Raw genomic sequence first — 15,459 nt, 5'->3', positions numbered from 1 at the left:
AAAAAAAAAATGATTATTAACATTAAAAATTCAGTTATTAGGCTAAGGAGGAAATCAGACACAGCCAAAGCGATAATTAGTGAAATAGAATATAGATATATAAAGGAACTACCTAGAGTACAGCCCACCACGAGGTGGACAAACATTGAGTTTATAGACCTGGAAGTTTATAGGCACAGAAAGAGCAGACTCTTTCCAAAAATGATAAACTACAGATTGAGGCAAACCATTTTGCAGAAGACAACTAGAAAAGCTGGGGAAAATGCCTGTTTGAAGGCATCACATAGCTAATGAGAAAGTGAATAATAACTGGTCTAAGATACTACCATGAGAATGCTGTAGCTATTTTAATATGAAAGTAGACTTTAAAGCAGAAAGCATCACTAGAGATAATACTTCAATAAAAGGTTCAATTCAGTTTTATTTAGATGTGATACTTCTTTGTATATCTAACATCATGATTACAAAATACAGGGAGCAAAAAATAATAGAAATATGAGCAAAAACAGACAAATCCACAGGCCTAGAGAAACATTTTTTAATAGACCTTTTATGTGACTGACAGAATGGCTAAAAGAAATCAGTAAATATATAGAAGATTTGAACAATCTGATTAACAACCTAATAGGCATGTTTAGCATATTGACACCCAACAACTTCAGAATACACATTCTTTTCAATAACATATGGGAATATTTTATTTTATGTATATTTTCTTGAGACAGGGTCTCGTTCTGTCGCCCAGGCTGGCGTGCAGTGGTGTGATCTCGGCTCACTGCAACCTCCATCTCCTGGATTCAAGCAATTCTCTTGCCTCAGCCTCTCAAGTAGCTTGGATTACAGGTGTGCACCACCATGCCTAGCTAATTTTTTTGTATTTTTAGTAGAGACAGGGTTTCGCCATGTTGGCCAAGCTGGTCCCAAACTCCTGGCCTCAAGTGATCCACCTGCCTCGGCCTCCCGAAGTTCTGGGATTACAGATGTGAGCCACCATAGCCAGCCTCAAATCACTTATTTTAAATTTGAGTTTTTATTAAGGGGAAGGTACTGATAGTTACTTTTATTTTTTATTTTATTTTTTTTGAGACGGAGTCTCACTCTGTCAGGCTGGAGTGCAGTGGTGCAATCTCAATCTTGGCTCACTGCAAGCTCTGCCTCCCGGGTTCACGCCATTCTCCTGCCTCAGCCTCCCGAGTAGCTGGGATTACAGGCGCCCACCACCACACCCGGCTAATTTTTTTGTATTTTTTAGTAAAGACGGGGTTTCACTGTGTTAGCCAGGATGGTCTTAATCTCCCGACCTCATGGTCTTCCGGCTTTGTCCTCCCAAAATGCTGGGATTACAGGTGTGAGCCACTGCACCTGGCCCTATTTTTATATTTACCTATTATTCCTAGTTTACAGATAAGAAAATGAGGCTTAGCAAGGAATAAAGAGATTGCTCAAGGTCACCCAACTAAATAGTGTTAGAACTGGGGTTTTAATCCAAACATATATGACCACAGAACTCTATGGTGGAATTTATTTCCCTGTTAAGTTTAATTCAGTAACAAATTATATGAAGATATGCTGCAGAGATGAATGAGATAATGAATGTAAAATTGCCTTGAGAGATTCAAGGAATGGAAATGAACTACCCAAATTAGTGTAGCAATTTCACTGTGAAATTAAAAGTAGATAATTGGAGAATAGCTAAGATCAGTCATTGCCTTTTAGTAGTTTAGAAGTCATAGAACTTTTTTGTTTATAGAACTTTTGAGGTGTTCTCTGAACATCATCTGTGTCAAACACATGGTAAAACAGATGTTTTTCCAAGGGATTTTAGTGGTTTCAACTTTATTAAAAGTGGCATTTAGTGAGCTATTTAAATGTTGATGATACGGACGTATTGAAGATTTACTTTAGTGATGATCATCTCTAGTTCTTAGTATTAAAGACTGGAAAATGTCCCTTTTATGCCATGCAAGTTTTATTTTGTATGTTTCAAGTTACCTGCCACTCAGTTTTGTGCCAAGTGTGAAACAGTGAATGAAAAGACAAAAAATAAGCCAATAAACACATAATTGTATCTTAAGAAAGAGCTGGGTGCTAGGTTGTGTACGTGTAGTCCTGGCTACTCAGGATGCTAAGGCAGGGAGGATCTTAGGGGCCCAGGAGTTGGAGGTTGCAGTGAACTATGATCATGCCTGTGAATAGCCACTGTGTTCAAGCCTGGGCAACATGGAGAGACCGCATCTCTGTTGTTGTTGTTGTTGTTGTTGTTGAGACAGAGTCTCACTCTGCTCAGGCTGGAGTGAAGTGGCGCAATCTCAGCCCACTGCAACCTCCACCTTCTGTGTTCAAGCTGTTCTTCTCTTCAGCCTACCAAGTAGCTGGGATTACAGGCGTGTGCCACCATGCCCAGCTAATTTTTGTATTTTTAATAGAGACAGGGTTTCACCGTGTTGGCCAGGCTGGTCTCAAACTCCTGACCTCAAGTGATCTGCCTTCCCTGGCATCCCAAAATGCTGTGATTACAGGCATGAGCCATTGCGCCCAGCCGAGAGACCTCATCTTTCAACAAAAACAAATAAATGAATAGATCTTGAGAGAAGCTCTGTGAAGAAACAAACTGGGTGCCGATTAAAAGTGGCATCTAATAAAGGCCAATGCCAGTAAAGGACAGGAAGTGAGGCAAGTGTTGGAACCATCTGCAGTTGGCTAAGTGGGAAAGGACTGTAGCATGCAAGACCATGGGAAGGAATTTGGATTTTATTTCAAGTATAATGGAGAAGTCATTGAAAGTTTCTAAGGGCACTAACATGGATCACTTTAAAAGATTGAGATACTGTGGTGGCTGCCATACTGAGAAAATCAAGAGTGACAGTGGGAAGACCAGGCAGGAAGCTAATGCTATAGACCAAGAATTCTCAGACTTGGCACTGTAGACCTTTTTAGCTGGCTGCTAATTTGTTATAGGGCTGTCCTGTGCATTGCAGCATCTCTGGTCTCTACCCTTTAGGTGCCAGTGGTAGCCCCACCCTCAAGTTGTGACAGCCGAAAATGTCTCCAGACATTTTCAGATGTTGCCTGGGGGTGAAAGTGTCTGTGGTTGGAAGCCACTGCTGTAGAACACAAAGACTTGGGAGGGAGACGACGACGACTTGGAATGGTGTGATGGCAGGAGAGGTGGAGAGAAGTGCCCAGATTTGAGGCCGGCTCAGTTAGAAGAGGATTTACCAGATCTTGTGGGGGTGATGGGCCGGGAAGAGAGGTCCTTCATTCCCCCGTCCTTGCTGGGTTTTTCAGGGGCTCCTTAGCATTTTTCAATTTACTCACAACTGGTTCTTGCTCCTTTTCATGCCCTAGATCTTCCAAATATCTCTGCTTTATGTTTTGAGGATAAGAAAGATCCACCCTCCCCTCCCTACACACAAAGCAACACCATTTTTAAACATTAGAGAGATGATGAGAATGCTTGGTCTCTTGCCAGGAATCCTGAAGTGGGTAAAACTGATTGACAACTTTGAAGGGGAATATGACTACGTGACCAATGAGGGGACGGTGTTCACATTCAAGACGAATCGCCAGTCTCCCAACTATCGCGTGATCAACATTGACTTCAGGGATCCTGAAGAGTCTAAGTGGAAAGTACTTGTTCCTGAGCATGAGAAAGATGTCTTAGGTGAGAACACATGTGACTTGAAAATTGTGCTCTTGTTTTTGATGAGAACATCAACAAGTTAGTGCGTCTCTCATTCTCTAGTGATCTGTTACAAGGTAAAAAACCTTCAACCTGTAATCATCAGGAATGAAGTGTCTAAATAGTTCATCCAAGTTTTCATTGTGTGATATCTTTGTAGCTTAGTACTATATCATGTAGAAATGCAAGGTCTTCATAAAAATTGTAAAGATAGGATTTCAGACTTCCAAAGTACTGCTTTTTAAACAAATATATCAGTTGTCTTTGTATACTTAATATCTGGTAATAATCATGAACATTTAATTTTTAAAACTGTTTAGATTTAGAATCCTTAGCTTTAAGCTTTTGAGTAACCTTTGGCTATTTGCATTATCCCTGTTGTTGATCTTAGTGTGGATTTAGAGCCCTCTTATTAGAAAAGGGAATAGACTATTGTCAGATTGAATTGAAACCCTTCGCAGTTGCTGCTTTGTGCAGTGAACTACATTAACCTCTTGAGAACGTCACTTCCGTATCAGTCGTGTTTCACAGAGAGCCTTTTTGTTCCCTTTTATTCATTCTCTGTGATTTTTCCAAAAATGATATGCTGCTTTATAAATTATTTATTGCATGAAAGTTGATTTTGACTACAGTAAAACTCATTAATTTGGGGTCAGTTTTTTACACAAAAGAAGAATTCAGTACTATTAGGCCAATGAGGTTACTTGGTGGTGGTGAACTGCTGCTGCTGGGTAGATTGAGGATAAAATAGGACCATTTAGAAATGCAAAATATATGGTATATAATGAGGAAAAAAAGTCCCCTTTGAGATCTGCAGAGTGGCCCTGTCTAAGATAAAGCAGTCCTAAAATGTGTTTTTCCGTGAATTAAAGCACAGGTCTTAGAGTCAGGCAGATCCACGTTCAGGTCCTTGATCAATAAGGAACTATTTCTCCCTTGCTCAAGGTGGTATGCTTTCTGTGCCTGGAAGGTATTTAAACCTAGCGTTGCTTGGGGGTGGCAGGGGAGCAGCTGATTCCAGCTGCTTCTCTCGGGGTCACAGGTTGCTATGGGCACTTTCTGCTGGTCCCTTTTTTCTGCAGGTCCCTTGGCCCTGAAGAAAGCACTCCTGGGTTTTTCTTGAGAGTCTGTTCAGCCCCTGGGCACCTGACTGCACTCTTCAACCCTCTTGTACTTAGATCTCCACACCCCTGTAGGCAGTTCTGTTGGACAGGACCCAAGACAACTGCATGCCTGCTTGAAATTCACATCTGTAACCCTGAGACAGCAACCCATTCCAGGCTCTTCCTCTGAAGTAGTTGGCCATTCTCCTGCCTTTTGGATTTCCAGGCACAGTCCCGTTAACTTGCAGGTTTGGATCAGGCACCGATACTCTGTCTGTGTCAGGCTGGGGTTGGTAGAAGGTAATAATCTTGTCACCCTCCCATAGGGTGGGGGACTTACAGGCAAGAACAAGAGGAAATCTTATCACCTGTCTCCTCAAAACCCTCTGTTCACATTCTGACCCTTATTTATATTTGGACGAGGGACCCACGAGTCACAGAACAGATTTTTGACCATTTATTTCAGTATCTTTGTTTAGTGAATCTGTTTCTAGTCACTTTGATAGCCTGATGGCTTCTGTCCAAACTGAGGCAGGGATGTCCCCCTAAGGGTAGTTACAGCCAGCAGTTAGTGAGGGCTTCCTGCATGCCAGGTACAGCACTCTGTTCATCATGCACTGACCTCATGCGTTGCTGCATCCAAATGAGACTTGGGTGGCATAAGTCTTCATATAGGTGCTCCAGGAGTTTTCCGGCACAAGTCAGGATTAAACAGTGATTCTTGTATAGGACACCATCATGGATGTTGTAACTGTTTCCCAAGGCATCTGAATTTCTGCCATTTAAAGCCAAAAGAGGGGTTTTAACTATGCCTTAAGGTGACATCCCATCTTATAGATGTAATGAAATGCAAATTAATGCTAGGAGATTTTGTTGGGGGGGTGATATATTTGTATAACCTTCCTTCTGAAAGGTTATAAGATTTTCAGACTGGAAAGGGGAAACCTTCAGTGTTCACTAGAACTCATCAATTTAAAGAGAAGCATGGTTGAATTTGAATGTGCCATATATCATTAGCACAGAGCGCCCTATTGAGAATAAAAACTAGAGATGAGTCATAAAGTACAGCGGTAAAGTCAGAGCTTTTATTAATGACAGTCTACAAATCACCTTGTCCTTTTGTTATTCACTTCTGTCTGTTTTATAATTCTGATGTGCTCATAGTTAATACAGATTGATTATTCTTTGACAGCTATAATTTACTTCATTTTTCCCCCATACTTTGGTCTCTTTAAAACATTAAGCCACATGAAATATGTTGCCTGATTGAGGTTTTTTAAGAAAGTGCATTGGAGAATGAGCAAATTACTTTTGGCTGTATGAGTTCTTCTTTATGTCCTCACTTGAGAAAACAAAGTTTGCCATACTAATCTCAGCAGCCCAAGATCAAGGCCCCTGGTGATCCTCAGAGTTCCCTCTTTCCAACATCTTTTCATGTGGGTAAATTCTAGCATCCTAAAAACATGAACTGCTAGTTTCTTGGGTTATAAAAATAAGCAGTGTCAAGAACCCCCCCCTTCCACATGAAACCCAAGAAAGGCTTGTCTGTTCAGCACATGTGACCTGTCCCCTACAGCCCTGTCCTCACTTCCACTTGCTGCGGTGTCTCTCCCTCTGGGTGACCTGGCCCTACCTCAGGCAGACCTCTGTGCTTGCCCTTCGTTTTCTCCTTTCCTCATCACCTCTCACTCCTGCTCTCCCAGCTCTGTCACTGAACGCTGTCACTGAAAGTTGCAGCCCTGGGAGTTAAGAACTCATTTCTCTACCTTACTCTCCATATCCCTGCAGGCATCAAGCCCTGGCTATTCTTCTTGGGAAATACCTTTCATTTGTTTTCTTTCCTGCCCAGACTTTATCTCCCGCTTGATGTGGTGTTCTCCCCGGCTTGTTGCAATAGTGCTCTTACTCTTCTCCCCTCCGTAGACTTCCATTGTTCTGCATTCAGCTGTTAGACACGTGCATCCTTTATTAATGCCATCTTTATGTTGCCCTTGTGTTCAGACAGTGGCTCCACAGTCACAGGTAACTAAACTGCTCTCTACCTGGCTCACTGGATGGCCTATCAGGCCACCACCAGCATCTCCATCTGCCCCAAACTGAACAACACTTCCTCTTGAAAACGGATCTCTCGTTTGTTCTCTTTACCAGTCTTCCTTCTGTCCTTTCTATTCCTTTCCCCTCTCCTCATTCCTGGCTGTGGCCTTCATGCCAGGAGTGGCCTATCTTCCTGCACCTCATCCAGTAGGATGCTGTGCTTTTCTTGCTAGCACCCATTTCCCCTCCATCTCCACACTCCTGCACTTGAGACTCAATTCAGCCCTTGCTTTAGGGCTGTCATTTGTTTTGGATCCTCAACCCACCAGTCACTTATCCTTGTTTATGGTTTATTACTTGCATTTTTATATGATTTTGTCTCACGAGCAGAATCGACCTCATCTTACTACTTGTCTCTCTAGCACTTTGCAGGGAATCTGGTGGATAACAAGGGCTTATTACATTTTTATCTAATAAACAATCCTGTCAGACATGAACCGTGATTTGGCTTTTATTGTTTTCCTCCTTATAGCTCCTATAGCATGATAATAGGCACAAAATAGGAAGGCAGGGTTACTATTCCACACATTATCTAGGTCATCAAAAGCCCCTGGCCCAAGAGTATTTTATTTCCTTGGGAAATAAAACAGTCATTTATTAAAGGAATATGTTGAGAACTAGATAAATGATTAAAACCAATTATAAGGCTGGGCGTGGTGGCTCACGCCTGTAATCTTAACAGTTTTGGGAGGCCGAGGTGGGCAGATCTCTTGAGGCCAGGAGTTCAAGACCAGTTTGGCCTACATAGTGAAACCCCGTCTGTACTAAAAATATAAAAATTAGCCAGGCATGGTGGCACACACCTGTAATCCCAGCCACTTGGGAGGCTGAGGCAGGAAAATCCCTTGAACCTGGGAGGTAGAGGTTGCAGTGAGCTGAGATTGCACTACTGTACTCAAGCCTGGGCGACACAGCAAGACCCTGTCTCAAAAAAAAAAAAAAATGTAAAAGTGACTTTGCAAGTCTCATTGCTGCATAGCCCTATGTGTAGCTCTGGAACTGTTGCTCAATTAAATGTGTTTTCATTAATTTTTTAAATTGCATTAGGTTTTTTCTCTTCTTATCCTTTCAGAATGGATAGCTTGTGTCAGGTCCAACTTCTTGGTCTTATGCTACCTCCATGACGTCAAGAACATTCTGCAGCTCCATGACCTGACTACTGGTGCTCTCCTTAAGACCTTCCCGCTCGATGTCGGCAGCATTGTAGGGTACAGCGGTCAGAAGAAGGACACTGAAATCTTCTATCAGTTTACTTCCTTTTTATCTCCAGGTAAGTGTTTTTTCACTGTTGCTGTTCACTTTAAAAATCCGACTGGTGTTTGGGTTTCTTTGGGGAAATGGAAGTATAATGCTATGTTATTGAAAATCACATATGCTGTATTATAGCCAAAATTACTTAATGGGAATAAAACGGTAGAACAGATGCCCAGAACAAAGGGAAATGTAAACGCCTAAAATGGCACTCTCATTAATCTTATATTCCAAGTCTCTGTTCCTCTGGAGGCAGGAACAGCTAACGTTCTAGATTGATTAAAAATTAGTACCAATGGGCCAGGCACAGTGTCTCACTCCTGTAATCCCAGCACTTTGGGAGGCCGAGGCGGGTCACAAGGTCAAGAGATTGAGACCATCCTGGGCAAATGGTGAAACCCGTCTCTACTGAAAATACAAAAATTAGCTGGGCATGGTGGCGCGTGCCTATAGTCCCAGCTGCTCAGGAGGCTGAGGCAGGAGAATCACTTGAACCCGGGAGGTGGAGGTTGCAGTGAGCCGAGATCGCGCCACTGCACTCCAGCCTGTCAACAGAGTGAGACTCCATCTCAAAAAAAAAAAAAATTAGTACCAATGAATACAACATTTGATTCAGTCTTTGGTCTATATGCATGAGAACACAGTGCAGATACAAAATGTAAAATCTTTAGCTACATCTGACAAAAAATGTTTTCTGGAATAAGCTGAGAATCAATTCTGCTGTTGTTAAACTGAAATAAAATGTAATTCTAAAAGTATAGTCTTACATCATGAAAACATGGGTGTTATTTGGTTCTAGTAGGAAAGGGAAACACTTGTTAAGTTGTGGTTTTACATTTCATGGTACGGGTTAATTTTCCCCAAAGTAAACATAGCTCTCTTTTTAACTTAAAAAAAAAATTGGTCACATTCATTTTGCTTTGTTTTGTTTTTTTCCTCCATTCTGTCCATCTGCACTGTTTTTGTAGCGTCATGGCCATACACACACTGATTTGTCCCAGGAGTCTGGCTCAGTTAGCAGTTTGCAGTTGACCAGGCAGACCCTGTCCTAAAAGCAATCTGGCTGAAAAAAGTCTGCACTTTCCTTATGCACATATGTTGAACTCCTCCAAAGTGCTTTTTGTCCCACTCAGTTTTGCTGCAGTCGTTTGGTCATTAGACAAAAAAAGCAGTCTTAGGGGAGAGCAAGGCAGGTGCTCAAGTGGCCCTGTCCTCCTCTTGGGATTTGGCCAGTTGACAGTGATGTCTCATCACTGTTATTTTGAGCCTCTGAGTCACAGAGCAGGCAATCCATAAGGAATCTTATAGTGGTGGTAGGTTGCTGTCAGGGTTATTAAAACCAAAAGAATGATGTTCTGTAAATAGGTCTGATAGTATACCTTGAAAACCTAGCCAGGCTTTACTTTCCCAAGCACCTTGCAGCGGATCAAGAGAAGCTAGGAAAAGCACCCACAAGAATGTGGAAACCATGCAAGGGCCAGAAGCCAGGAAGTGACCGTTCGAGAATTCGACTTCAGGGTGTCCTGCACCTCCCCCCATTCCCTCTTCCCCCTAGAACCTGGAGTACAGCAGCAGCCAGTGGACAGATGAGGAAAATCATTTCTTCTAGATAGCCATTCTTAGCCCACTGCTGCAGGGCCCACAGTTAATTTCCTCAAATTTACACTGGGTACAGAAGTTTTACTTTGGAAAATTTCGTATCTTAAATAGTTTAAATGGATAAAGGGCAATGAGGAGGGCAGTGAGGGTGACTCACCTGCTCTTAAAAAAAGCTGGAGTCCCCAAAGGCCTGTAAACCTCCTTCAGTGACCGCATGTGACCATTTATGTCAGGAACAAGCTCATCATTACCTGGGGAAGAAAGGGCTTATTGTCCAAGTGTAAAATGCTGGGTTCTGTGCCAAACAATGAAATATTACCCGTGACTGTGGCTGTGAAATTTGAAAAGAGAAGTGTGTTCCTCGTTCTGTACTGCCAGGCATTTTCTGACCAAGCTTTAATTTTCTGACCAAGCTTTGTCTGTCTCCTTTTACTAGTTTTGCCTCCATTTTTCTCTTTTCTCTGCCGAATGCAATTTGATTTCTAAAACCAGAGAATGGGGCTTCCGGATTCAGATCTTGTGAGACCAAATGCAAAAACAGCCATCAGATAATTAGATTAGATCTCATGAAAGCATGGATTGTCAGTGTGGGTATATACACATAGGCTCACAAGTAGTCTTGCACTGGTGTCTGAAGGCTAGCTGTTCACTACTACAGTAAAGAGCAGAGGTACTCAATTATATGTAAAGCCCCAGGGTCACAAATAACTGCAGCTCCAGCTTCCTGCTGCAGACATTTGATAACTCTGGCAGGTGCACACCAGCTGACTTTGTTTTCCTTGGAGGTACATGGTGAAAACACATCTTGAGCCCAAGCCATTTATGACTTACTTTGGCACCTTGAGTCACATTTGGAAAAAAACAGGCAGCCATAGCAGCTTAGAGCACAGTGCACTTATTCTCTGTGGTTCAAACCACTTAGTGGTTGAACCGGTGAACTCTGTACTTGTGGAACCTTGGAGAGTTGCCTAGGGTGAGCTCCAGACCTGCGTGTTGTAATAATCCAGTAGAGCAGTCCCATATGCATGGCTCTGGGAGTCAGGGGTGAGAAATCATAGAAAAACCTTTCACGGATATCAGGGAAAGGCAAAACTTTTTGAGACTTGTTTTTGTTTTTTTCTTTGAATAATGTTAAAACCCAACCTAAAATCAGTTAAAACAAAATCTCCATGGGTTACAAAGTTTGCCGCCTTTTTACATACGTGACTTTTCGGATCCCCTGATTCTTGTTTTGGTAGGTTCTCCTAGAGTTGTCTGTCTTTCTCCTGACTACTCCTACTTCTCCTTACATTTATTTCAGATTACACTGGGAACATACCAACTGATCTCCCTGCCTCCTTCTCAAGTCCAGATACCTTCTCTGGCCTTAAGGGACTTCCACAGTTCAGTTCTCTTTTTTCACCCTTAAACTTTGAAATTTATTTCCTAGCGATCACCTGACCAACTCTGGTTTATGAGTCTAGGATGTTTTCTTCAAACCCCACCTTCCTTGTTCTTATCCTCTGAGCCAAATCAGATGGGACACAAAGCATCATTAGATTATAGGGATTCACATTATGCTGTGAATATGCAATGGGCTAACCTAGATGGATCTATAAACAGAAAGTATCGATAAAATATATTAAGTGCCAGTACCTTCAGGTTTAACACAGCCTCCTTCAAGGTACCACTTCTGGTGCACAGGACAGAAGAATAGGGAGGTCAGGCATTTGAAACTCTTTCCGTGTACAGTAACCAGCCCCTGTTGCATATTTATTTCATTCTGTGGTTAGATTTGATGTCTCAACCTTTCTAGATAAACAGGCATTTAGAGTATATTTCCTACTCATTGTCTTTCACTACAGAACTTGCATTCTAGTACTTTGGTGCCTTGTCTCAGGTCACTGAGCTAGCAACTTTCAGAGCTGGGAATTTTGGCTCCCTAGGCCTTTGTCATTTGCTGTACTACAGGTCGTGGTGATGCCAGGGTGAGGCAGGTGCTCAAATGGTGCATGCTTGGTCTGCACGTTGTCTTTTTGTTGTTGTTGTTTGATTATTTATACTTTTTTTCAAGGATTCACATGCTTTTTGTGTTTGTGGGGGGCACCGGGTACTGATCAAGAAGCTCTTAAAAATTAAAATATACCACAAGAGATAGCCTTTTACCCCAAGATTACATTTATTTAGGCAAGTACAGTATTCATTATATCTGGTAAATTAGAATACATGCTCACAGAATGCAATTGGAAGTATATATAAAGGTATATTCTAACAAATATCCAAGCATAACTTAAACTAAGAAAGTCAATACTTGAGTCATGTTATACATCTTACTGTCAGCGTTAATCGTATACCCTGTTATGGTAACCTTAAAACAGTTTGTCTGCAATCATGAGAATTGAGACAACATTCATAAGGATTAGCAGCTGTGCTGTTCACGGATCTAAATGTATTACTCCTTTCCGGTCGGGGGCAGCGTATTGTTTCCCAGCTGTTAGTGAAGTGCATACACAGAGGAGTCGAGAAGAAAGAAAGGACTGACATTTTAATAATGATTATTCCATTTAAATGTGCTCTGTGGGAGTACCGTTTGGTTTTTGGTTTTCCAGCAAGTACTGATGGGATCACTAAATCAATTTTTCATATACTTGACAGCATATGCTCAAAGTATTATGTGGGGAGGTGCTATTTCCACACCAGCCACTCTGTGGATGACTAATTCTGTTTTATAAACCACAGCAGTGTCATTGTTTTCAAACATTAATGACTTGTCTTATTATTTCTTTGATTTAGTTCTTAAATGTTAGAAAGTAGTAGCATTAAATTTGGGAAATGTTTAATTAGTGTTACATACGCTGGAATTCTTAGTATGTATATTAATCATTTTGTGTCGTGCACAATTACTGGGACAATCCAAATTGGAAAAGCAATTTTGAAATATCTACTGATCATCTTTGGTCCGTGATTGCTGTCCACATGAGTGTCCACAGATAGGTAGGTGCCAGGTAGCAGGAGCCCCAGAGTGTTTGTCAAGAGACCCCTGACTGGCTCTTGACCCTGGGCAAATCACTTGAGTTTTTTGTCAGTCACCTCCCAGGTCAAATGGCACTAGATGAAGTCTACCATTTTTTTGACCTGCATTCCTAAGTGACCCAGCTTGGGGAAGACGAGTTAAATTTCTGCAATTAGGTTTCTCACCTTTTCTCATATTCACAGAATGCATTAGAATCTTCTAAAATGTATATACTTACTAGTGTTATAAAAAAGAAGGCTGCATGAGATGGTGATGATGAGGATGAACACTTACATAGCACCCCTCATGCCAGACTCTGTTCTAAGCACTTGTCTGCAGTGAGCCTTCGACTGTGGTGGGGATTAACCAAGTCCCTGATAAATGATCCTCTCTTGCCATTGCTGGCATTTGGTTGTGGTTTGTGATCCTTGCCCCCTTTGAATCTAGTGAGTCCCGTAGACTAAACCAAGCCTTATTCTACTTTTTAGGTATCATTTATCACTGTGATCTTACCAAAGAGGAGCTGGAGCCAAGAGTTTTCCGAGAGGTGACCGTAAAAGGAATTGATGCTTCTGATTACCAGACAGTCCAGGTATGGAGAATATGATCTCATTAATGTGAGAGTTAGGAAGTCTGACTTTCAGGCTGGGCCATTCACACTGTAGCTTATCAGAAGCAGTGGAGGTAATTCATGACAACTAGTATTTTGTAGCCCCCACGGTTGACGGTCATTGAGCCAAACACTCAGGATTCAGCAGTGAGCTGGCATAGTCGCTGCCCTCCCATAGCCTGCAGGTTCTGCTCCTATGGCTGCTACTCTTGACAGGAAGCTGGAGTTCTTTCTCTTGGGGCTCCTATTGTAACATTTCTGTCTGTGTCAATCTGCTTGCTTGAATATGGTTTGTGTTCTAGCTCAGGTCTTTTGGTGTTGTAAATAACATGGGGATTTGCTCTATGTAAAGTATGGACTTAAGTGCTGTGAGTCAGTGTTTTTAGTCTGAAGTTCATGTGCATTTCTGCATGACACAGAGTAGACACTCAATAAAACATTTGAATGAATAAATTAATTAATTGTCATGTCACCACAAGCTTCGTCTTTGGCCACCATCTTTTCAGGTTAAGAATCTCCTTTTTTGTTTTTTCAGCTCCCCAAGGGTACTGAGTCTTCCAGAAACTGAATCACTGGTTGATTGATGATGACGAAGAATGTCTCTGTTCCTTTGCAATGAGAGGTCACCAATAGGGCACCAGGTGTTTATCAAGGCCCCTCCCACCTGGAGGGCTGGACCACACAGGCCACAGATTAGGAATCAGAACATTGTTTGTGAAGGAAGATGAGAATAAAGAGCGCTGGATGTTCCCCACAATGTTTCTGTGAAACTAGGGCATTATTATAGCTTGGTGAATTACCCTTCAATTGTCTAGAAATGGTCTAGATGATAGGCTACATCTAGATCATGAATAAAGCTTTGTTTACTAAAACAGGTGGTGGGCTGGATTTGGTGTAGAGCTATGATTTATCAGCCCCTGTTCTACATCAGCAGTTGGCAAACTGGCCTCCTGTTTTATTGGAGAACACATGCCCATTTGTTTACATATTGCCTGTGGTTGCTTTGGCACTTAGAGTGGTTGCAACAGAAACTCTATGTCCCAGAAGGCCTGAAATATTTAATATATGGCCTTTAAGAAAAAGTTTGCAGAATCTTCATCTATGTAAATAGCATTTAAAAGTACAACATTCTTGATAGACATACAGGGCCGAGAAGACATACAGGGTCAAGAAGCTCTGTCAGACAGGCCTGAAATCCACGTGGGGCAAGTCATTTAACCTTTCTGCCACAGTTTTTTCAACTGTAAAGTAGAGATTGATAGTATCTGTTTTTTAGGATTCCTGTGGGATTATTAAGAGATAAGGTATATTCAAGATCTGGCAATAGAATATAATCTATTTTTTTCAATCAACGTTAGAAATAAATGTAACAGACTTTTAGTTTCCTATTTATTTGGCTGCTGCTTATTTTGTTTTCATGGTGAGCCATTGCCTGGAGGGAGATCCTGTAGGGGCCTGTAGCCCCTGTCTGGTATTTTCATGGTTCATAAATTCACCCTCATCCTATACCAATTTTCTAACATCTGTTCACTTTTAGTCTGGCATTCTTTGCTCTTTTTTTTCCTCTAATTTGTAGAAAATGTGTCCCTATCAGTTGTGACATTTGGTTTTCTCAGGGCCTTGTTCTGGTCCTTGCCTGGGTATCCCCAGCAAGGATAGGTGTGCCTCTCCTATCAGGAATGTCAGGGACACCCAGGCAGCACCCAGCAAGTGTTCTCTCCTCTGCTCTCAAGAGCACACTCTCAGCTGCCCTAGGTAGGACGGGGTAGGGTTGCACGAGAGAGATCCTAATCTTCTCATGTCTATGAGGGGGCTCAGCTCTGTGTAAAAAAAGATACTGTTTTCCCCTTTTTTCCACTTCCCACAGACATTTAGTACCCAAGTGTATAATTGCCTTTGGAGTCTGGGAAAGGGAAGGACCCCTATAATAATGACAACTGCCAGGGAGGCCGCTTCTTCCAGGGAAATATCTCTTACTGCTTAGTATGATTGGGGTGTTTCCTCTATTAGATGGCTTTTTTTTCCTATTCTGATAATGGTAATATTCTTTATAGATGACAAGCTAGTTACCACCTAATATATATTGTTTTCATTTACAAATGAAAAGATAAAACATGGCAGCTAAGAA

At 41.8% G+C, this 15,459-nt stretch overlaps 1 protein-coding gene across 3 annotated transcripts in view; it reads left to right on the top strand.

The window, feature by feature from the left end:
- Positions 1-15,459, top strand: part of PREP (prolyl endopeptidase) — a 129,865-nt gene that overhangs the window by 66,105 nt on the left and 48,301 nt on the right. For 2 of the 3 annotated variants that reach the window (NM_002726.5, XM_011535925.4), the window contains exons 8-10: positions 3,473-3,664; positions 7,952-8,149; positions 13,210-13,313. In NM_002726.5, the coding sequence (NP_002717.3) occupies positions 3,473-3,664; positions 7,952-8,149; positions 13,210-13,313 (494 nt within the window). Of the gene's footprint in view, positions 1-3,472; positions 3,665-7,951; positions 8,150-13,209; positions 13,314-13,866; positions 14,720-15,459 lie in introns of those variants that run through there. The other variant, XM_005267044.4, reaches the window with a different exon arrangement.

This window comes from Homo sapiens, chromosome 6, assembly GCF_000001405.40.
Source record: "Homo sapiens chromosome 6, GRCh38.p14 Primary Assembly".
In the NCBI taxonomy this organism is placed as follows: domain Eukaryota; kingdom Metazoa; phylum Chordata; class Mammalia; order Primates; family Hominidae; genus Homo; species Homo sapiens.
This window is presented reverse-complemented; position numbering and strand designations above follow the sequence as displayed.